We start from the raw sequence: 24,210 nt of genomic DNA, 5'->3' as shown, positions 1-24,210 counted from the left end.
TTGGTGTTTTAGTCATGAAGCCTTTGCCCATGCCTATGTCCTGAATGGTATTGGCTAGGTTTTCTTCTAGGATTTTTATGGTTTTGAGTCTTATGTTTAAGTCTTTAATCCATCTTGAGTTAATTTTTGCATAAAGTGTAAGGAAGGGGTCCAGTTTCAGATTTCTGCATATGGCTAGCCAGTTTTCCCAACACCACTTATTAAATGGGGAATTCTTTCCCTGTTGCTTGTTTTTGTCAGGTTTGTGAAAGATCAGATGGTTGTAGATGTGTGGCATTATTTCTGAGGGCTCTGTTCTGTTCCATTGGTCTATATATCTGTTTTGGTACCAGTACCATGCTGTTTTGGTTACTGTGGCCTTGTAGCATAGTTTGAAGTCAGGTAGCGTGATGCCTCCAGATTTGTTCTTATTTGTTCTTTTTGCTTAGGATTGTCTTGGCTATGTGGGCTGTTTTTTGGTTCCATATGAAATTTAAAATAGTTTTTTCTAATTCTGTGAAGAAAGTCGGTGGTAGCTTGATAGGGATAGCATTGAATTTATAAATTCCTTTGGGCAGTATGGCCATTTTCACAATATTGATTCTTCCTATCCATGAACATGGAATGTTTTTCCATTTGTTTGTGTCCTCTCTTGTTTCCTTGAGCAGTGGTTTGTAGTTCTTGAAGTGGTCCTTCACATCCCTTGTAAGTTGTATTCCTAGGTATTTTATTATTTTTGTAGCAATTGTGAATAGGAGTTCACTCATGATTTGGCTGTTTGTCTATTATTGGTGTATAGGAATGCTTGTGATTTTGCACATTGATTTTGTATCCTGAGAGTTTATTTTTTATTTTTAAATTATGGCCATTCTTGCAGGAGTAAGTTGGTATCTCATTGTGGTTTCGATTTGCATTTGCCTGATAATTAGTGATGTTGAGCACTTTTTCATATGTTTATTGGCCATTTGTATATCTCCTTTTGAGAACTGTCTATTTACGTCTTTTGCCCATTTTTTGATAGGATTATGTTTATGTTTTTTTCTTGCTTATTTGTTTGTGTTCTTTGTAGAGTCTGGGTATTAGTCCTTTGTTGGATGCATAGTTTGTGAAAATTTTCTCCTGCTCTGTGGATTGTCTGTTTACTCTGCTGATTGTTTCCTTTACTGTGCAGAAAATCCTTTTCGTTTAATTAGGTCCCATCTATTTATTTATTTATTTATTATTATTTTTTGCATTTGCTTTTGGGTTCTTGGTCAGGAATTCTTTGCCTAAGCCAGTGTCTAGAAGAGTTTTTCCAATGTTGTCTTCTAGAATGTTTTTGGTTTTAGGTCTTAGATTTAAGTCTTTGATCCATCTTGAGTTGATTTTTGTATAGGGTGAGAGATAAATATCTTGCTTCATTCTCCAACATGTGGCTTGCCAATTATCCCAGCACCATTTGTTGAAGAGGGTTTTCTTTCCCCAATTGATGTTTTTGTTTGCTTTGTTGAAGATCAATTGGTTGTAAGCATTTGCCTTCATTTTTGGATTCTCTATTCTGTTCCACTGGGCTACATGTCTATTTTTATACCAGTACCATGCTGTTTTATACCACTACCATGCCTTGTGGCATAGTTTGAGGTCAGGTAATGTGATGCCTCCAGATTTGTTCTTTTTGCTTAGTCTTGTTTCTGTTATGTGGGCTCTTTTTTGGTTCCATATACATTTTAGGATTGTTTTTTCTAGTTCTGTGAAGAATGATGATGGTACTTTGATGGGAATTGCATTGAATTTGTAGATTGCTTTTGGCAGTATGCCCATTTTCACAATATTGATTGTACCCATCCATCAGCATGGGATGTGTTTCCATTTGTTTGTGTCATCTATGTTTTCTTTAAGCAGTGTTTGGTAGTTTTCCTTGTAGAGATCTTTCACCTCCTTGGTTAGGTATATTCCTAAAGTGGTGTGTGTGTGTGTGTGTGTGTGTGTGTGTGTATGGAGCTGTTGTAAAATGGGTTGAGATTTTGATTTGATTCTCAGCTTGGTCATTGTTGGTGTATAGCACTGCTACTGATTTGTGTACGTTGCTTTTGTATCTTGAAACTTTACCAAAATTCACTTATCAGATGTGAGCTTTTTGGATGAATCTTTAGTGTTTTCTAGGTATATGATCATGTCATTGGTAAACAGTGAGAGTTTGACTTCTTCTTTACTGATCTGGATGTGCTTTATTTCTTTCTCTTGTCTCATTGTTATGGCTAGGACTTCCAGTATAATGTGGAATAGCAGTGGTGAAAGTGGGCATCCTTGTCTTGTTCCAGTTCTCAGAAGGAATGCTTTCAACTTTTTTTCCATTCAGTGAAATGTTGGCTGTGGGTTTGTCATAGATGGGATTTATTACCTTGAGGTATGTCCCTTCTATGCCAATTTTGCGGCAGGTTTTGATCATAAAAGGATGCTGGATTTTGTCAAATGCTTTTTCTGCATCTATTGAGATCATATGATTTTTGTTTTTAATTCTGTTTACGTGCTGTGTCACATTTATTCACTTGGGTATGTTAAACCATCCCTTCATCCCTGGTATGAAATTACTCGATCATGGTGTGTTCTTTTTTTGATATGCTGTTGGATTTCATTAGCTAGAGTTTTGTTGAGGATTTTGTTCTCAAAAAATATTGAGCATCTGTGTTCCTCACTGATATTGGTCTGTAATTTTCTATTTTTATTGTCTTTTTCTGGTTTTCAAATTAGGACGATACTGGCTTCATAGAATGATTTAAGGAGGATTTCCTCTTTTTCTGTCTTTGAAATAGTTTCAGTAAGATTGGTACCAGTTCTTCTTTCAATGCCTGATAGAATTCAGTTATGAATCCATCTGGTCCTGGACTTTTTTTATTGGCAATTATTTTATTACTGTTTCAATATCTCTACTTGCTATTGGTCTGTCCAGAGTTTCTATTTCTTCTTGATTTAATCTAGGAGGGTTGTATATTTCCAGGAATTTATCCATTTCCTCTAGATTTTCTAGTTTGTGTGTGTGTAATGGTGTTCATAGTAGCCTTGAATGATCTTTTGTATTTCCGACGTATCAGCTGTAATATTTCCCATTTCATTTCTAATTGAGCTTATTTAGGTGTTCTTCTCTCTTCTTTTCTTGGTTAATCTCACTAATAGTTTATCAATTTTGTTTATATTTTCAAAGAACTAGCTTTTTGTTTCATTTGTCTTTTGTATTTTTTTAAATTTCAATTTCATATAATTCTGTTCTGATCTTTGTAATTTCTTTTCTTCTGGTGGGTTAGAGTTTGGTTTGTTCTTGTTTCTCTACTTCCTTGATGTGTGACATTAGATTGTCTATTTGTGCTCTTTCAGACTTTCTGATATAGGCATTGAACGCTATGAGCTTTCTTCTTAGCACTGCTTTTGCTTTATTCCAGAGGTTTTGATAGATTGTGTCACTATTATCATTTAGTTCAAAGAAATTTTAAATTTCCATTTGATTTCATTGTTGACCCAAAGACTACTGAGGAGCAGATTATTTAATTTCCATATATTTGTATAGTTTGGGGGGTTTCTTTTGGAGTTAATTTCCAGTTTCATTCCACTGTGGTCTGAGAGGGTACTTGATATAATTTAGATTTTCTTCAATTTATTGAGACTTGTTTTGTGGCCTATCATATGGTTTATCTTGGAGAATGTTCCATGTGCTGATGAAAAGAACGTATATTCTGCAGTTATTGGGTAGAATGCACTGTAAATATCTGTTAGGACCGTTTGTTCTAGGGTATGATTTAAGTCCATGGTTTCCTTGTTTACTTTCTGTCTTGATGACCTAGCTAGTGCTGTCAGTGGAGTATTGAAGTCCCCACTATTATTATGTTGCTGTCTATCTCATCTCTTTGGTCTAGCAGTAATTGTTTTATAAATTTGGGACCTCCAGTGTTAGGTGCATATATATTTAGAATTATGATATTTTCCTGTTGGACTGATTTTTTCATCATTATATAATGTCCCTCTTTGTCTTTTAAAATTGTTGTTGCTTTAAAGTCTGTTTTGTCTGATATAAGAATAGCTACTCCTGCTCACTTTTGGTTTCCATTTGCATGAAATATCTTTTCTCATCCATTCACCTTAAGTTTACTTGAGTTCTTATGTGTTAGGTGAGTTTCTTGATTATTTAATAAGTAACACCATTTAGCTAAAGATAATATCAATCTCTATCTCATACCCACAAAATAAACACTAGATAGACAAAAAAACCTAAATATGAAAATCAAAACTTTAAAGATTTTAAAAGAGCACATAGTAGCCAAAACCAGACAAAGACACAGCAAGAAAAAAGAAAAACCCTACAGGCCAGCATTCCTGATGAATATTAAAGCAATAATACTAAACCTAACATTAGCAAACTGAATTCAACAGCTCATTGAAAGGATCATACACCATGACGAAGTGGATTTATACCTGGAATGCAAGGACTGTTTAGTATACAAAAATCAATACATGTACTATACCTCATTAACAAAATAAGAGACAAAAACTACATGGTCATCTCAATCAATACAGAGAAAGCATTTAACAAAACTCAAACCCCTTTCATGATAAAAAAACAACAACAACAACACTCAACCAACAAGGAATAGAAAAAAATCTACCTCTGGAACAGTCATGGAGTCTCATGCATGTAATTCTAGCACTTTGGGAGGCTAAGGTGGGGGGAACACTTGAGGCCAGGAGTTCAAGACCATTCTAAGCAAGACAGTGAGATACTGTCTCTCCAAAAAAAGTTTTTAAGTAGCCAGACAACAGGGTGCATGCCTGTAGTCCCAGCTACTAAGGAGGCTAAGGCAAGAGGACAACTTGAGCCCAGGAGTTCAAGGCTGCAGTGAGCTATTATTATGGCACTGCACTCCAGCCTGGATGACAAAGTGGGACCCTATCTCTTTAGGAAAGAAGAAGACCTTAACATAATAAAAGTCATATATAAAAATTCCACAGCAAACATGATACTCAACAGAGAAAGCTTTCCTCCTAGTTAAGGAACAAGACAAATAAGTCCACTCTTGCCACTACTATTCAACATGGTACTGGATGTTCTGGTAGAGCAACTCAACAAGAAAAAAAAAAGGAATACAAATTGTAAAAGAAGACATAATCTTATATATAAAAAACCCTAAAGAGTACACACACACACACACACACACAGTAGAACTAATAAATTTAGTAAAGTTGCAGAATACAAAATCAGCACTCAAAAATTAGTTGCATTTTTATGCACAAATAATGATCAATCTGAAAAGGAAATCAAGAAAACAATCCTATTTACTATAAATCAAAAATAAAGAAATACTTAGGAATAAACTTAACTGAGGGGATGGAGAAAGACTTGTTCACTGAAAACTATAAAATGCTGCTGAAGGAAATTAAAGAAGACATAAGTAAATGGGAAAGCATCCTATGTTCATGAACTGGAAGACTTAATATTGTTAAAATAGCCATACCACCCAAAACAATCTACAGAGTCAATGCAATCCCTTTCAAAATCCCAGTGGCATTTTCAGAAATAGAAAAAAAATCCTACTGTTCATACATAATTTCAAGGAATACTGAATAGCCAAAACAAACTTGAAAAAAGTAGGACAAAGTTGAAAATTTCAAACTTCCTTATTTCAAAACATATCTCAAAGCCAATAGTAATTAAGACAATGTGGTATTGGGATAAAGATAGATATATAAATAAATGGAGCAGAATAGGTAGCTCATAAATAAACCACTGCTATATGACGAAATGATTTTTGACCAGTGTGCCAAGACTACATAATAGATAAATAACAGTCTCTTCAACAAATATTGTTGTAAAAACTGAATATTCACAAGCAAAAGAATGAAGTCAAATCCTTACCTTACATCATATACAAAATGTAACTAAGAATGGATTAAGTATTTAAATTTAATACTTAAAATTATTAAACTCCTAGGAGAAAAAAGGTAAAAACTTTCAGGATGTTGGATATGGCAATAATTTATTGGATGTAACATCAAAAGCATACATAGACAACAAATTTTTAAAAAGAGATTATGCAAAACTTTAAACTTCTCAGTGGGAAAGGAAACAATCAGCAGAGTGAAATGCCAGTGGGAAAAGGAGAGAATGGAAGAAAATAATTGCAAATCACATAGCTGACAAGGTGTTAATATTCAAACTATTTAAGGAACATCTACAACTTAATAATGATAACAAAATGCCAAATAACCCAATTAAAATATGGCAAAGGACTTGGATAGACATTTCTCTAAAGAAGATATACAAATGACCAATAAGCACATAAAAAATGCTCAGTATCACTAATAATTAGGAAAATGCAAATAAAAGACACAGTGAGATATCACTTCAAACCCATCAAGATGGCTGCTATCAAAAGAACGGAAAATAACAACTTTTGGTGAAGACGTGGAGAGATTGGAACCCATGTGAACTGTTGATGGGAATGCAAAATGGTGCAGCTATTATGAAAAACAGGAAGGGGGTTCCTTAAAAATTGAAAATAGAATTATCACATGATCCAGCAATCCCATTTTTTTAGTATATATCCATAATAATTCAAAGCCGGATCTCAAAGAGATACTTGCACACCCATGTTCATTGTAGCATTATTTGCAATAGCCAAGAGGTGCAAGGAACCCAAATGTCCACTACTGAATGCATAGATGAAGAAAATGTGGTATATATACACAATGGAATATTATCCAGCCTAAAAAATGAAGGAAATTCTATCACATACTACAACATGAGTGAATATCTAGGGCATGCTAGGAGAAAGAAGCCAGTCACAAAATAACAAACACTATATGATTTCACTTATATGAAGTATAGTAGACAAAATCAGACGAGAGAGTGACACCAGCAAGATGGCAGAGTAGAAGTTCCTTCAGCATCATTCTCCTACCAAAGTACAACTAAAAACTACTCAAAGAGAAGAATACTACCCTAAATTCACCATATATTGGGGAGGGGAGTGGAAAAGCCACCTGGACCCACAGAATCAAGAAATGCTTCAACTAGTAAGGGGAACAGTCATTTTAGACTGGACTAACCCCTACCTCAAGCTGGCACAACGCCACTCACGAAAAATTTTCCTAAACCCAAGGTTTCTGAGGTGGTAGGAGAAAACTGGAGGTGGACGTTAATATCCCCACCAGTCTGGGAATCTTCTTGGGAAGCCAACTCCAGTTCCATCTCACAGAAAACACTGAGAGTACCAAGAAGGCTGAACCACCTGGGGTGAATTGGGGACAAAAAGTAGGGGCACTGATCACAGCAACTGGCATGCAAATCTTGGTGGCTTCTCTGAGCTTAAATCAAAGGGGACACCATGCTGAGGAGACTGACTGCTGCCAGAGCACTATAAGGGAAACAATCCACAGGAAGATCGAAATCCCTGGCCAGATTCCCCACAAAGCCCAGGTGCTTTCATGAAGCCTTCTTCTGACCTGGAAACAATTAGGTTCTGGTGCTTATTTAAGTCTTCTTAAGACTAGAAAACAATGGTAGGGCAGTGATATAGTTCTGGTGCTTAAGTTCTGGTGCTCACTGGGAGTCTTCCCCAGACCAGGCAAGCAATGAGTTAGTTCCAATGCAGTGTTTTAGTTCCAGTGCTTATTGTAAGTCCTTCCTAAAATAAGGAGCAATAGCAGGTCAGCAATTAAGTTCCAATATTAAGTAGTAAAGGTCTAACACCACCAGAGAACACCTGCAAAAGCTGGAAGTGGTGGCTGTCTCCTCAAGTGCATGGGCATCAGTGTAAAGATGCAAGAATTGTGAAAACTCAAATAAATCTGACACCACCAAAAGAAACCAACAAAGCTCTTGTAATAGACAAAAAAGAACTGAAGAGCTATGAAGTGTCTAACAAAGAATTCAGAACATTGCTCTTAAAGAAGTTCAAGGACTCACAAGATAATATGAATAAAAAGCTAAATGAAATATGGAAAACAATCCAGGAAGAAAATTGACAAAAATTTTGTTTTTTATAAACAGAAATCCTATAAATAAATAATTCAATAACTGAATTTTAAAACACATTAAAAAGTTTTAACAGCAAACTGGTTCATACTGAGGAAAGAATCAGTGAGCCTGAAGACAGAACATGAAATTGCCAATCAGAGAGGCAAAGAGAAAATGAATAAAAAAGAGTGAAGAAGGCCCATAAGAATTATGGGACACCACCAAGTGAACCAACTTTTGCTTAACAGGAGTTCCTGAATGAGACAATAGAGAAAAAGGCCTAGACAGCATATTTATAGAAATAATGGCTGAAAATTTCCCAAATTTGAAGAAAGACATTATCCAAGTACAGGAATCTCAGAGGTCACCAATCAAATTCAATCCAAAAAGAAATTCTTTAAGGCACATCATAATCAAATTATCAAAAATCTGGGACAAAAAAGAAAATTGAAAGCAGCAGAAGAAAAGAAACATATCATATTAAATGAAGCCCCAATATGGCTTGCAGCTGAAAGGAAATAATGCTAATGTGCAAAAAGAAAACATTTGAAGGTATAAAAAACTCAGTGGTAAAAGTAAGAATATAGAAAAATTCAGAATAATACTTTAACTGTGATATGTAACTTACTTATATCTTAAGTATAAAGACTACAAGACAAAACTATTAAAGAAAATAATAATAATCATGACAATTGGTAAAGAGATAGGCAATACAAAAAGATGTAAATCAAAATATCAAAAAGTCAAAATTTGTGTGTGGGGGGGAATGGTGTTAAAGCATAGTTTATTTTTGTTAATTTTTTGTGATCAAAGTTAAGTTATCAGTTTAAAATAATCTGTTATAACTATAAGATGTTTTAAAATAAGCCTCATGGTACTCATAAATCAAAACCCTGTAATAGATAGAGTAAAAATAAATAGCATGAAATCAAAACATAATACTAAAGGAAAATCACTTAACCACAAAAGAAGATAATAAGAGAGGAGAAAAGAAAAAAAGGATCTACAAAACAACCAGAAAACAAGTAACAAAATGGCAGTAGTAAACCCTTACCTTTCAGTAATAAACTTGAATGTAAATGGATTAAATTCTCCAATTAAATATACACAACATACCAAAACCTAAGGGACACAGCAAAAGCAATGCTAAGAGGGAGGTTTATAGCAATAAACACCTAAATCAAAAAAATAGAAATGTCTCAAATAATCTAATGTTACACTTCAAGGAATTAGAAAAACATGAATAAATGAAATCAACGATCAGTAGAAAGAAAGAAATAACAAAGATCAGAGCAGAAATAAAATAGAGATTTAAAGAACAATACAAAAGGTTAACAAGACAAAGAGTGGGTTTTTGAAAAGATTAAAAAATCAACAAACCTTTAGGAAGACTAAGAAAAAAAGAGAGAAGACTCAAAATCAGAGGTGAAAAAGTAGGCATTACAACAGAAACTACAGAAATGCAAAGGATCATAAGACTATGATGAACAACTATACACAAACAAATTGAAAAAATCTAGAAGATATGGATATATTCCTGGACACATACAACCTCTAAGTTTGAACCATGAAGAAATACAAAACCTGAGTGGACCAATAATGAGTAACAAGATTAGAGCAGTAATAAAGACTCCTTCATCAAAGAAAAGCCCAAGACCTGATGACTTCATGGCTGAATTCTACCAAACTTTTAAAAGAAGAACTGGCTGGGTGTGGTGGCTCACACCTGTAATCCCAGCACTTTGGGAGGCTGAGGCGGGTGGATCACAAGGTCAGGAGATCGAGACCATCCTGGCTAACATGGTGAAACCCCATCTCTACTAAAAATACAAAACCAAAATTAGCCAGGCGTAGTGGTAGGCCTGTAGTCCCAGCTACTTGGGAGGCTGAGGCAGGAGAATGGCATGAACCTGGGAGGCGGAGCTTGCAGCAAGCCGAGATCGCGCCACTGCACTCCAGCCTGGGCAACAGAGCGAGACTCCGTCTCAAAAAAAAAAAAAAAAAAAAGAACTAATACCTATTCTTCTCAAACTCTTCTAAAAAATTGAAGAGGAAGAAATACTTTCAAACTCATTATACAGCACCAGCACTGTCCTGAAATCAAAACCAGACAGGCCACCACAAAAAGGAAAACAACAGGCCAATATTCCTGATGAACGTAGATGTAAATATTCTCAACAAAATACTAGCAAACAAAATCCAACAACACATTAAAAAGATCATCATAATCAAGTGGGATTCATTCCAGGAATGCAAGAATGGTTCAACATATGCAAATCTATAAACATGGTACATCATATCAACAGAATGAAGGACACAAATTATATTGCCATTTCAATAGATGCAGAGAAGAGTTCAACACTGCTTCATGATAAAAACTCTAACAAATTAGGTATAGAAATAACATATCTCAACACAATAAAGGTCATATATGACAAACCCACAGCTAACATCATACTGAATGGTGAAAAATTGAAAGCTTTTTCTCTAAGATCTGGAATAAGAATGCCCTGTTTTACCACTGTTATTCAACATAGTACCAGAAGTCTTTGGAAGAGCAATTAGAAAAGAGAAAGAAATAAAGGGCATCCAAATTGGGAAGGAGGAAATCAAATTGTTTCTTTTTGCAGAGAAAATGATCATATATATAGAAAATCCCAAAGACTTCACCAAAGACTATTAGAACTAATAAATGAATTCAGTAAAGCTACAGGATACAAAATCAACATATAATAATTAGCAGTCTATCAGCCAATAACAAACTTGAGGAAAAATAAATCAAGAAAGCAATCCTATTTACAATAGCTACAAAAAATAAAATACCTAGAAATAAGTTTAACAAAAGAGGTGAAATACATCTTCAATGGAAACTACAAAATACTGATGAAAGAAATTGAAGGAGACACACAAAAATGGAAATACATCCCATGTTCATGAATTGGAATAATTAATATCACTAAAATGTCCATACTATCCAAAGCAATCTACAGACTCAATGCAATCCCTATCAAAATTGCAATGACATTCTTCACAGAAGTAGAAAAAAAAATTCTAAAATTTATATGGAACCACAAAAGACCCAGAATAGCTAAAGCTATCCTGAGCAAAAGAACAAAGTTGGCAGAAGCAGATTATACTACAAAGCTATAGTAACTAAAATGGCAGGGTATGGGCATAACACAGACACATAGACCAATGGAATATAAGAGAAAATCCAGAAATAAATCCACACATCTACAGGGAACTCATTTTTGACAAAGGTGCCAGGAACATACACTGGGGGAAAGGACAGTATCTTCAATAAATGGTGATGGGAAAACTGGATATCCATATGCAGAAGAATGAAACTAGAACCCCATCTCATATACAAAAATAAAAATGAATAAAAGATTTAAATCTTAGACCCCAAATTATGAAACTACCATAAGAAAACATTTGGGAAACTCTCCAGGACATTAGTCTGAGCAAAGGTTTCTTGAATAATACCCTAAAAGCACAGGCAACCGAGGCTAAAATGGATGGATGGGATCACATAACTTCTGCACAGCAAAGGAAACAATCAACAGAGTGAAGAGACACCTAGAAAATGGGAGAAAATATTTGCAGACTATGCACCAGACAATAAATTAATATCCACAATATATAAGGAACTCAACTCAATAGCAAAAACAACAAAAAACAAAAACACATAATCTAATTTTTTAAATGGGCAAAAGACCTGAATAAACATTTATCAAAAAAATACATGCAGGTATATAATAAGATGCTCAATATCACTAATCATCAGAGAAATGCAAACTAAAACCACAATGAGATCTGACCTCTTACCCCAGTTAGAATGGCTATAATCAAAAAGACAAAAATTAACAAACGCTGGTAAGGATGCAAAGAAAGGGAACTCATACACTGTTGGTGGTAGTGTAGATTAGTTCAGCCATTATGAAAAACAGTATGTTCTTGCCTGGAACTACCAAAAGATCCACCAATTCAACTACTGGGTATATAGCCAAAGGAATTAAGTAAGTATATTAAAAAGATATCTGCATTCCTATGTTTATTTAAACACTATTCATAGTAGCCAAGATATGAAGTCAACCTGTGTGTACATCAACAGATAAACAAATAAAGAAAATGTAGTATAAGTACACAATGGAATACTATTCAGCTATAAAAAGGAATGCAATCCTGTCATTTGTAGCAAAATCAATGAACCTGGAGGACACAATGTTAAGTAAAATAAGCCAGGTGCAGAAAGACAAATACTGCATTCTCTCACTTATATGTGGAATCTAGGAAAGTTGAGCTCATAGAAGTATAGAGCAGAATAGTAGTTATCAGAGACTGAGGAGGTGAGGGATAAGGGGAAGAGAGGAAACTCAGCCAATGAGTACAAAATTATAGTCAGATGGGAAGAATAATTTTGGTGTTCCATTACATAGTAGGATGACTATAGTTAAGAGCAATGTATTGTATATTTTAAGATAGCTAGGAAAAAGGATCTTGAAAGTTATCACCACAAAGAAATGATAACGGTATGAGGTGAAGGACATGCTAACTATCCTAATTTGACCATTATATAATGTATCCATATATTGAAACATCACACTGTACACCATAAACCTGTACAATTATTGTATGTCAATTATAAACAAAATTTTTAAAAAATAGAGTAGTCGAAATCATAGAACCAGAAAGTAGAAAGGTGGTTACCAAGGGATGGAGAGAGGAGGAATTAGAGTTTAGTGGGTATGCAATTTTAGTGTTGCAAATGAAGAGCTTCCATAGATTTGTTGCCCAACAATAGAACTATACTTAACGCTAGTGAGTTGTGCATTTAAAAATGGTTAATAATAAGTTTAATGTTACCTGGTTTTTTAACCATATTTTAAAAAGTGAGGTCCAGGAAGGCCATGTTAAATGTTCGATTAGAGAGAAGAAATGGTCTTTTAGAAGAAGAGTGGATGGAGGAAGAGACTATGGTATAATTGTAAGACAATATTATGGAATCGTGTAGTCAGTGTTCAGGTTTAAGAGGTTACCAGTCATCATGATTGAGTTTTTCTTCAGCATTCGTCAACTCTGCATGTGAAGATACCATGGAAGCAAAAATTTTTATTTAACCAGATTTTGATTTAGCTAAGGGAGTAAGAGACAGTGAGAAGTAAGAGGTTTAAGGATTTGTGCAAGGGACAGTGAATAGCAGTAGAATTGACAACATTTTCCACCTTATAGCTATGCAAATAATGTCTTGCTATACTTAATAAAAATGGAATTTCAGAAGCAGTAATAAAAAAACATATAGGAGAACATCTTTATCACACCAGAGTATGGATAGAGTTTTGATAAGCCACAGAAGGTATACACCATAAAAGAAAGAATTGCTAAATCTGATGACATTAAAATTGAAACACCTGGGCTGGGTGCGGTGGCTCACACCTATAATCCCAGCACTTTGGGAGGCTGAGGCGGGTGGATCACGAGGTCAGGAGATCGAGACCATCCCGGCTAACATGGTGAAACCTGTCTCTACTAAAAATACAAAAAATTAGCTGGGCATGGTGGAGCATGCCTGTGGTCCTAGCTACTTGGGAGGCTGAGGCAGGAGAATCGCTTGAACCCAGGAGGCGGAGGTTGCAGTGAGTCGAGATCATGTCACTGCACTCCAGCCTGGGCTACAGAGCAAGACTCTGTCTCAGAAAAAAAAAAAAAAAAAAAAAATTGAAACACCTCTGTGGCAAAGAGCACTATAAAGAAAAGGAAATTCAAAAACCGACCTAGTAATTGTTTTCAATACATTTACTAACAAACTCTTTCAAATAAATAATAATTTTTAAAAATTCAATAGAATAGAAAATTGGGGAATTCACAAAGGAAAACCAAATGGCCACGTAAACATGAAAAGATGTTGACCTTCACTAGTTTATAATCAGAGAAATATACTTTAAAATAACCACATATTTTCACCACTCCAATTGGTAAAAAATTTTCAGTTTGATGATTGCAGGGGACTGATCCTCACTCTTGAGGTCTCAATTCAGGGAATTTTAATGCTACAAACATTTCCCAAACTCCTTTGTCTCCCTGTACTTCCCAGAGCAGAATTATTTCTTTGCTTTGTCCTTACTGTTAATACGTATTTTTTCACCATTATTTTGGTGTATCTATCTCTTTAAGTTATACGCACATAGAAAGCACATGGGACAAAGCACATGGGAGGTGTTTTGAATTAATTAAGACAAGGTCCTATGTGGCAGAGGAAATTAAAATCATAACTTTGCTGATCTGTCTTTTTTCTGCCCCTGCCCCTGGTACTGTTCATGGCTTATAGTGGGCTCACAATGAAAGCCTGCTGCATTAAATGTAAGCCACCTTTTTTCTTCCAGAAAAGTACACAGGCCAGTCACCAACAAACTATTCTGAGTTTATGTAGTTTGGGCTTATGACTTATAAAATATGGATGAGCCCAATCCAGAAATTTTTATGTCAAGGAATGCTGGGGAAGAAGCTGATGGTTAGGCATGGATGAGTGGAATATTTCTGTCACTTATCTGGATTCTTTAACATTTATTCTCAAAAGTATTTTCTCCTGGTGGGAGAGGCTAACAAGAAAAGTAATATGAGAGGCTGCTTAGGCATCAGGGGACCTTTCTATCAGGCATTAATAATTTGAATCTCATTTGGAAATTCTTTTATCATTTTAGCCGATGGGACCTGAGGCACTGACAATCAATTTTTAAAAATACAAGATGCCAATAAGGACTGGATTGTTTTGAATTAACTAAGAAAAGGTTCTATGTGGCAGAGGAAATTAAAATCATGGCTTTGCTAACCTGTCTTCCTTGTGAAGTTGTTCTGTATATCTGATTTCATTTTTAATGCAGAAGTTTTAGTGGGCCTTTGAGGAGATGGAGAGACAGGAGAGTGGGGAGCTGGACATAATGTTTCTGATCAATTGTACCCTTCAGTGGAGAAGGTAGTAGGGGAGGGACTTCTGGACCTTGTGTGTTGGGGGGTGTGGGGGGAATATAGATAGGGCAGTAGGGTACTGCTAGGGTAATTCACTGTAATTAAATTAAATTACAGTAATTTAATTATATATTTAGCTCTGCCACTTATTAGCAATGTGGTCTTGGGCAAACATCTTGAATTCTCTCCGCCTCAGTTTCCTCATCCATAAAATATGTATAATATTAACAATGAGAATTTAGAAATGTAACATATGTAAACATTTTATGTCCCTGACACACTATAAGTACAGTATGCATTAGTTTTTGTTGTTATATAAGGGTTAGCTATTCCTGTTGTAGTACAGTCATGATGTCACACAGGATGTTTAGGTCAATAATGGACTGCATATATGACAGTAGTCCCATAAGATTATAATGAGGCTGAAAAATTCCTGATGCCTAGTGACATCATAGTCATCTTAATGTTGTAGTGCAACCCATTACTTGCGTGTTTGTGGTGATGCTGGTGTAAACAAATCTGTGCTGTCACTCATATAAAAGTATAGCACATACAATTATGTACAGCACATAATACTTGATAAATGACTATGTTTCTGCTTTATGTATTTACTATATGTTACTGGTTTCTTTTTTTTAAATTATACTTTAAGTTCTAAGGTACATGTGCACAATGTGCAGGTTTGTTACATATGTATACATGTGCCATGTTGGTGTGCTGCACCCGTTAACTCGTCATTTACATTAGGTGTGTCTCCTAATGCTATCCCTCCCCCCTTCACCCACCCTATGACAGGCCCTGATGTGTGATGATCCCCACCCTGTGTCCAAGTGTTTTCACTGTTCAATTCCCACCTATGAGTGAGAACAGGCAGTGTTTGGTTTTCTGTCCTTGCTATAGTTTGCTGAGAATGATAGTTTCCAGCTTCATCCATGTCCCTACAAAGGACATGAACTCATCCTTTTTTATGGCTGCATAGTATTCCATGGTGTATATGTGCCACATTTTCTTAATCCAGTCTATCATTAATGGACATTTCAGTTGGTTTCAAGTCTTTGCTATTGTGAATAGTGCCACAATAAACATACGTGTGCATGTCTTTATAGCAGCATGATTTTAATCCTTTGGGTATATGCCCACTAATGGGATTGCTGGGTCTAATGGTGTTTCTAGTTCTAGATCCTTGAGGAATTGCCACACTGTCTACCACAATGGTCGAACTAGTTTACAGTCCCACCAACAGTGTAAAAGCGTTCCTATTTCTCCACATCCTCTCCAGCACCTGTTGTTTCCTGACTTTTTAATAATCATCATTCTAACTGGCATGAGACAGTATCTCATTGTGGTTTTGATTTGCATTTCTCTGATGACCACTGATCATGAGCATTTTCTCATGTGTCTGTTGGCTGCATAAATGTCTTCTTTTGAGAAGTGTCTGTTCATATCTTTTGCCCACTTGTTGATGGGGCTGTTTGATTTTTTCTTGCAAATTTGTTTAAGTTCTTTGTAGACTCTGGATATTAGCCCTTTGTCAGATGGGTAGATTGTAAAAATTTTCTCCCATTCTGTAGATTGCCTGTTCACTCTGATGGTAGTTTCTTTTGCTGTGCAGAAGCTCTTGAGTTTAATTAGATCCCATTTGTCAATTTTGGCTTTTGTTGCCATTGCTTTTGGTGTTTTAGTCATGAAGTCCCTGCCCATGCCTATGGCCTGAATGGTATTGCCTAGGTTTTCTTCTAGGGTTTTTATGGTTTTAGGTCTAACATTTAAGTCTTTAATCCATCTCGAATTAATTTTTGTATAAGGTGTAAGCAAGGGATCCAGTTTCAGCTTTCTACATATGGCTAGCCAGTTTTCCCAGCACCATTTATTAAATAGGGAATCCTTTCCCCATTTCTTGTTTTTGTCAGGTTTGTCAAAGATCAGATGGTTGTAGATGTGTGGTATTATTTCCTAGGGCTCTATTCTGTTCCATTGGTTTATGGAACAGTACCATGCTGTTTTGGTTACTGTACCAAAACAGCTGTTTTGGTACTGTTTTGGTTACCAGTACTATGCTGTTTTGGTTACTGTAGCCTTGTAGTGTAGTTTGAAGTCAGGTAGTGTGATGCCTCCAGCTTTGTTCTTTTCACTTAGGATTGTCTTGGCAATATGCGCTCTTTTTTGGTTCCATATGAACTTTAAAGTAGTTTTTTCCAATTCTGTGAAGAAAGTCTTTGGTAGGTTGATGGGGATGGCATTGAATCTATAAATTACCTTGGGCAGTATGACCATTTTCACGATATTGATTCTTCCTATCCATGAGCATGGAATATTCTTCCATTTGTTTGTGTCCTCTTTTATTTCGTTGAAGAGGTCCTTCACATCCCTTGTAAGTTGGATTCCTAGGTATTTTATTCTCTTTGAAGCAATTGTGAATGGGAGTTCACTCATGATTTGGCTCTCTGTTTGTCTGTTATTGGTGTATAGGAATGCTTATGATGTTTGCACATTGATTTTGTATTCTGAGACTTTGCTGAAGTTGCTTATCAGCTTAAGGAGATTTGGGGCTGAGACGATGGGGTGTTCTAGATATACAATCATGTGATCTGCAAACAGGACCATTTGACTTCTTCTTTTCCTAATTGAATACCCTTTATTTCCTCCTGCCTGAGTGCCCTGGCCAGAACTTCCAACACTATGTTGAGTAGAAGTGGAGAGAGAGGACATCCCTGTCTTGTGCCAGTTTTCAAAGGGAATGCTTCCAGTTTTTGCCCATTGAGTATGATATTGGCTGTGGGTTTGTCATAGATAGCTCTTATTATTTTGAGATATGTCTCATCAATACGTAGTTTATTGAGAGTTTTAGCATGAAGGGATGTTGAATTTTGTCAAAGGCCTTTTCTGCATCTATTGAGATAATCATGTGGTTTTTGTCTTTGGTTCTGTTTATATGTTGGATTACGTTTATTGATTTGCATATGTTGAACCAGCCTTGCATCCCTGGGATGAAGCCAACTTAATTGTGGTGGATAAGCATTTTGATGTGCTACTGGATTTGGTTTGCTAGTATTTTATTGAGGATTTTTGCTTTGATGTTCATCAGGGATATGGGTCTAAAATTCTCTTTTTTTGTTGTGTCTCTGCCAGGCTTTGGTGTCAGGATAATGTTGGCCTCATAAAATGAATTAGGGAGGATTCCCTCTTTTTCCATTGATTGGAATAGTTTCAGAAGGAATGGTACCAGCTCCTCTTTGTACCTCTGGTAGAATTTGGCAGTGAATCCATCTCGTTCTGGACTCTTTTTGGTTGGTAGGCTATTAATTCCTGCCTCAATTTCAGAACCTGTTATTGGTCTATTCAGGGATTCAATTTCTTCCTGGTTTAGTCTGGGGAGGGTGTATGTGTTGAGGAATTTATCCATTTCTTCTAGATTTTCTAGTTTATTTGTGTAGAGGTGTTTATAGTATCTGATGGTAGTTTGTATTTCTGTGGGACTGGTGGTGATATCCCCTTTATCATTTTTTATTGTGTCTATTTGATTCTTCTCTCTTTTCTTCTTTATTAGTCTTGCTAGCGGTCTGTCAATTTTGTTGATCTTTTCAAAAAACCAGCTCCTGGATTCATTGCTTTTTTGAAGGGTTTTTTATGTCTCTATCTCCATCAGTTCTGCTCTGATCTTAGTTATTTCTTGCCTTCAGCTAGCTTTGGAATGTGTTTGCTCTTGCTTCTCTAGTTGTTTTAATTGTGATGTTAGGGTGTCAATTTCAGATCTTTCTTGCTTTCCCTTGTGGGCATTTAGTGCTATAAATTTCCCTCTACACACTGCTTTAAATGTGTCCCAGAGATTCTGGTATGTTGTGTCTTTGTTCTCATTGGTTTCAAAGAACATCTTTATTTCTGCCTTCATTTCGTTATGTACCCAGTAGTCATTCAGGAGCAGGTTGTTCAGTTTCCATGTAGTTGAGCGGTTTTGAGTGAGATTCTTAATCCTGAGTTCTAGTTTGATTGCACTGTGGTCTGAGAGACAGTTTGTTATAATTTCTGTTCTTTTTTACATTTGCTGAGGAGTGCTTTACTTCCAACTATGTGGTCAGTTTTGGAATAAGTGTGATGTGGTGCTGAGAAGAATGTATATTCTGTTGATTTGGGGTGGAGAGTTCTGTAGATGTCTATTAGGTCTGCTTGGTGCAGAGCTGAGTTCAATTCCTGGGTATCCTTGTTAACTTTCTGTCTCGTTGATCTGTCTAATGTTGACAGTGTGGTGTTAAAGTCTCCCATTATTATTGTGTGGGAGTCTAAGTCTCTTTGTAGGTCTTTAAGGACTTATTGAATCTGGGTGCTCCTGTATTGGGTGCATATATATTTAGGATAGTTAGCTCTTCTTGTTGAATTGATCCATTTACCATTATGTAATGGCCTTCTTTGTCTCTTTTGATCTTTGTTGGTTTAAAGTCTGTTTTATCAGAGACTAGGATTGTAACTCCTGCCTTTTTTTGTTTTCCATTTGCTTGGTAGATCTTCCTCCATCCCTTTATTTTGAGCCTGTGTGTGTGTCTGCACGTGAGATGGGTCTCCTGAATACAGCACACTGATGGGTCTTGACTCTTTATCCAATTTGCCAGTCTGTGTCTTTTAATTGGAGCATTTAGCCCATTTACATTTAAGGTTAATATTGTTATGTGTGAATTTGATGCAGTCATTATGATGTTAGCCAGTTATTTTGCTCATTAGTTGATGTAGTTTCTTCCTAGCCTCGATGGTCTTTACAATTTGGCATGTTTTTGCATTGGCTGGTACTGGTTGTTCCTTTCCATGTTTAGTGCTTCCTTCAGGAGCTCTTTTAGGGCAGGCCTGGTGGTGACAAAATCTCTCAGCATTTGCTTGTCTGTAAAGGATTTTATTTCTCTTTCACTTATGAAGCTTAGTTTGGCTGGATATTAATTTCTGGGTTGAAAATTCTTTCCTTTAAGAATGTTGAATATTGGCCCCCACTCTCTTCTGACTTGTAGAGTTTCTGCCGAGAAATCAGCTGTCAGTCTGATGTGCTTCCCTTTGTGGGTAATCCAACCTTTCTCTCTGGCTGCCCTTAACATTTTTTTCCTTCATTTCAACTTTGGTGAATCTGACAATGATGTGTCTTGGAGTTGCTCTTCTTGAGGAGTGTCTTTGTGGCGTTCTCTGTGTTTCCTGAATTTGAATGTTGGCCTGCCTCGCTAGGTTGGGGAAGTTCTCCTGGATAATATCCTGAAGAGTGTTTTCTAGCTTGGTTCCATTCTCCCTGTCACTTTCAGGTACACCAGTCAGACGTAGGTTTGGTCTTTTCACACAGTCCCATATTTTTTGGAGGCTTTATTTGCTTCTTTTTTCTCTAAACTTCTCTTCTCCCTTCACTTCATTCATCTGATCTTCAATCGCTGATACCCTTCCTTCCAGTTGATCAAATTGGCTACTGAAGCTTGTGCATGCATCACGTAGTTCTCCTGCCATGGTTTTCAGCTCCATCAGGTCATTTAAGGACTTCTCTACACTGTTTATTCTAGTTAGCCATTCGTCTAATCTTTTTTCAAGGTTTTTAGCTTCTTTGCGATGGGTTTGAACATCCTCCTTTAGCTCGGAGAAGTTTGTTATTATTTATTGTCTCAAGGCTTCTTCTCTCAACTCGTCAAAGTCATTCTCCGTCCAGCTTTGTTCCATTGCTGGCGAGGAGTTGCGTTCCTTTGGAGGAGGAGAGGCGCTCTGATTTTTAGAATTTTCAGGTTTTCTGCTCCGGTTTCTCCCCATCTTTGTGCTTTTATCTATCTTTGGTCTTTGATGATGGTGACGTACAGATGGGGTTTTGGTGTGGATGTCCTTTCTGTTTGTTAGTTTTCCTTCTAACAGTCAGGACCCTCAGCTGCAGGTGTCTTGGTGTTTGCTGGAGGTCCACTCCAGACCCTGTTTGCCTGTGTATCACTAGCAGAGGCTGCAGAACAGCAAATATTCCAGAATGGCAAATGTTGCTGCCTGAGCCTTCCTCTGAAAGCTTCGTCTCAGAGGGGCACCCGGCTGTGTGAGGTGTCAGTCAGCCCCTACTGGGAGGTGTCTCCCAGTTAGGCTACTCGGGGGTCAGGCACCCACTTGAGGAGGCAGTCTATCGGTTCTCAGATCTCAAACTCTGTGCTGGGAGAACCACTACTCTCTTCAGAGCTGTAGACAGGGATGTTTAAGTCTGCAGAAGTTTCTGCTGCCTTTTGTTCAGCTATGCCCTGCCCCCAGAGGTGGAGTCTACAGAGGCAGGCAGGCCTCCTCTGCTGCCGTGGGCTCCACCCAGTTCAAGCTTCCTGGCCACTTTGTTTGCCTACTCAAGCCTCAGCAATGGTGGATGCCCCTCCCCCAGCCACGCTGCTGCCTTGCAGTTTGATTTCAGACTGCTGTGCTAGCAGTGAGCAAGGCTCCGTGGGTGTGGGACACTCCGAGCCAAGCGTGGGATATAATCTCCTGGTGTGCCGTTTGCTAAGACCACTGGAAAAGCACAGTATTAGGGTGGGAGTGTACCAATTTTCCAGGTACTGTCTGTCATGGCTTCTCTTTGCTAGGAAAGGGAATTCCCTGACCTCTTGTGCTTCCCAGGTGAGGTGATGCCCCACCCTGCTACGTGGGCTGCACCCACTGTCTGACAAGCCCCAGCGAGATGAATCCAGTACCTCAGTTGGAAATGCAGAAATCACCTGTCTTCTGCGTCGCTCATGCTGGGAGCTGCAGACTGGAGCTATTCCTATTTGGCCATCTTGGAACCTCCTCTTAGTGGTTTCTGTATTAACTTTTAATTGTGATTTTAGAGTATACTCCTTCTACTTGTATATATTTAAAAAGTTAACTGTAAAACAACCTCAGGCAGGTCCTTCAGGGAACATTTCAGAAGAAGGCATTGTTATCATAAGAGATGACAGCCCCATGCATGTTACTGCCTCTGAAGAACTTCCAGTGGGACAAGATGTGGAGGTGGATGACAGTGACGTGTAGGCCTAAGCTAATGTGTGTGTTTGTGGGCTAGGTTTTTTTTTTTTTTTTTTTTTTTGATGGAGTCTCGCTCTTTCGCCCAGGCTGGAGTGCAGTGGCATGATCTCAGCTCACTGCAACCTCTGCCTCCCGGGTTCATGCCATTCTCCTGCCTCAGCCTCCTGAGTAGCTGAGATTACAGGCACCCACCACCACGCCTGGCTAATGTTTTGTATGCTTAGTACAGATGGGGTTTCGCCGTGTTAGCCAGGATAGTCTCGATCTCTTGACATCGTGATCCACCTGCCTCGGCCTCCCACAGTGTTGAGATTACAGGCGTGAGCCACTGTGCCCAGCCTGTGGGCTAGTTTTTAACAAAGAAGTTTAAAAAATAAAAACAAACAAGCAAAAAACTTGAAATAGAAAACAGCTTATAGAATAAGGAAATAAAGAAAGAAAAAAAATTTTTTGAGACAGTCTTGCTCTGTTGCCCAGGCTGGAGTGCAGTGGCTCAATCTTGGTTCGCTGCAACCTCCACCTCCCAGGATCAAGCAATTCTTGAACCTCAGCCTCTCAAGTAGCTGGGATTACACACGTGTGCCACGACACGCGGCTAGTTTTCTGTATTTTTAATAGAGATGGGGTTTTACCATGTTAGCCAGGCTGGTCTTGAACTCCTGCCTCAAATTGATCCACACACCTCAGCCTCCCAAATTGTTGGGATTACAGGCATGAGCCACTGTGCTCGGCCAGAAAGAAAATATTTTTGTACAGCTATACTATGTGTTTTATTTTAAGCTAGTGTTATTATAAAAAAGCCAAAATGTTTAAAACTTAAATTTAGAAGTTTGTAATGAAGTTACAGTAAGTTAAGGTTAATATGTTATTAAAGAAAGAAATTTTTAAAAATAAATTTAGTGTAGCCTAAGTGTACCATGTTTATAAAGTCTGCAGTAGTGTACAGTAATGTCTTGGCCTTCACATTCACTCACCACTCACTCACTGACCCACTCAGAGCAACACCTAGTCATGCAAGCTTCATTCATGGTAAGCATTTTATAGACACAGCTATGCCATTTTTAATCTTTTATACTGTATTTTTTATGTTTAGATGCGTTTAGATACACAAATATTTACCATTGTGTTATGCTTGCCTACAGTATTCAGTACAGTGACATGCTGTACAGATTTGTAGCCTAGGAGCAATAGGCTATCCCATATATCCTAGGAATACATTACTTTTAATGGCAAAAACCGAAATTACTTTTGCACCAACCTAATAGTAGGCTATACCATCTAGGTTTGGTAAGTGCACACTATGATGTTCACATAATGACAAAGCCACCCAACAATGCATTTCTCAGAACACGTTCCCATCATCAAGCATGACTGTAGTTGTTTTAGAGGCTGAGCCCTGAGCTAGGTTCGGTTAATACAATAATGAATTCTGTACACCCTATTCTTAATAAGGAATCTGGTGGTGGAGACAAGTAAGCAGGCTGTTACTATAAAGTTGTCTGTGTTACCATGGAGACAAGTGCAGGGCACCCTTGGGACTGCAAAGGAGGGGTGCCATCCCAATTATGGGTGTCAGAAACTACTTCCTGATACCCGTAATTGGGTGCACATTCTTCCCTGCCATTTTTTCTTTTCTCCTACTGTGCTTTCACTGTATACTACTCATACAAGCCTCCCTGGGTTTCCTTAGCAGTCCTCAGGCCTAAATAAGTTGGGACATCTAGGCTACTCACCCATGCCCAGGCTGAGATGCCTTTGCCAGTGCTGGATGACACAAGGCTTTGCCCAAGCTTTGAAAACTCCTAAGCCTTTCATCAGACCAATCTTAGAATTTAGCCTTACCCAGCCCTTCCTTGCCCTGGTTTCATTTTCTTTTGTCCAAACTGCCTTTGTGGTTTCCATAGAAATGAAAGCTTCTGGCTGGGCCCATCCCCGTGGAAATTTTAGGGTGATTAATAGGCACCATTGCCATATTCTATTTATTTCTCATTTGCTTGCTTGATTAAAAACTCACAATTCCACCTCCTTACCTCCCTGGTGCAAGGGAGAGGGGAATACATAACTTTGTTTTGTTACAAATATACATACAAACTTTGTTTATTAGGTTACATATGACATTCACGTTTGATTCCCAGGCCACTGCTCTGCAGTTGTGCAAACATCATATTTTCTGGCTTGGAGTAAAAAAATACGTATTTTCATAGATGCTGATGGCTGATGAAAATGACTGACTCTTAAGGTTCCCTTGTTAACTGATGGGATCTTGAAGAATAGGCAGAACATTACTTTTGTTTCAATAGGTA

The 24,210-nt window shown here is 37.4% G+C and overlaps 1 long non-coding RNA gene across 2 annotated transcripts in view, besides 1 other annotated feature; it reads right to left on the bottom strand.

The window, feature by feature from the left end:
- LOC105369435 (uncharacterized) overlaps positions 1–24,210 on the bottom strand; it is an 84,813-nt gene that overhangs the window by 12,454 nt on the left and 48,149 nt on the right. The window lies entirely within an intron of this gene.
- Positions 7,097–7,598: an enhancer, noted in NCBI's record as "NANOG hESC enhancer chr11:93995336-93995837 (GRCh37/hg19 assembly coordinates)". NCBI's record gives its function as "activates a minimal SCP1, AML or CMV promoter by ChIP-STARR-seq in primed H9 embryonic stem cells {active_cell/tissue: H9 hESC(primed)}" and the evidence as "EXISTENCE:reporter gene assay evidence [ECO:0000049][PMID:30033119]".

This window comes from Homo sapiens, chromosome 11 (genome assembly GCF_000001405.40).
Source record: "Homo sapiens chromosome 11, GRCh38.p14 Primary Assembly".
Taxonomy (NCBI): Eukaryota; Metazoa; Chordata; class Mammalia; order Primates; family Hominidae; genus Homo; species Homo sapiens.
This window is presented reverse-complemented; position numbering and strand designations above follow the sequence as displayed.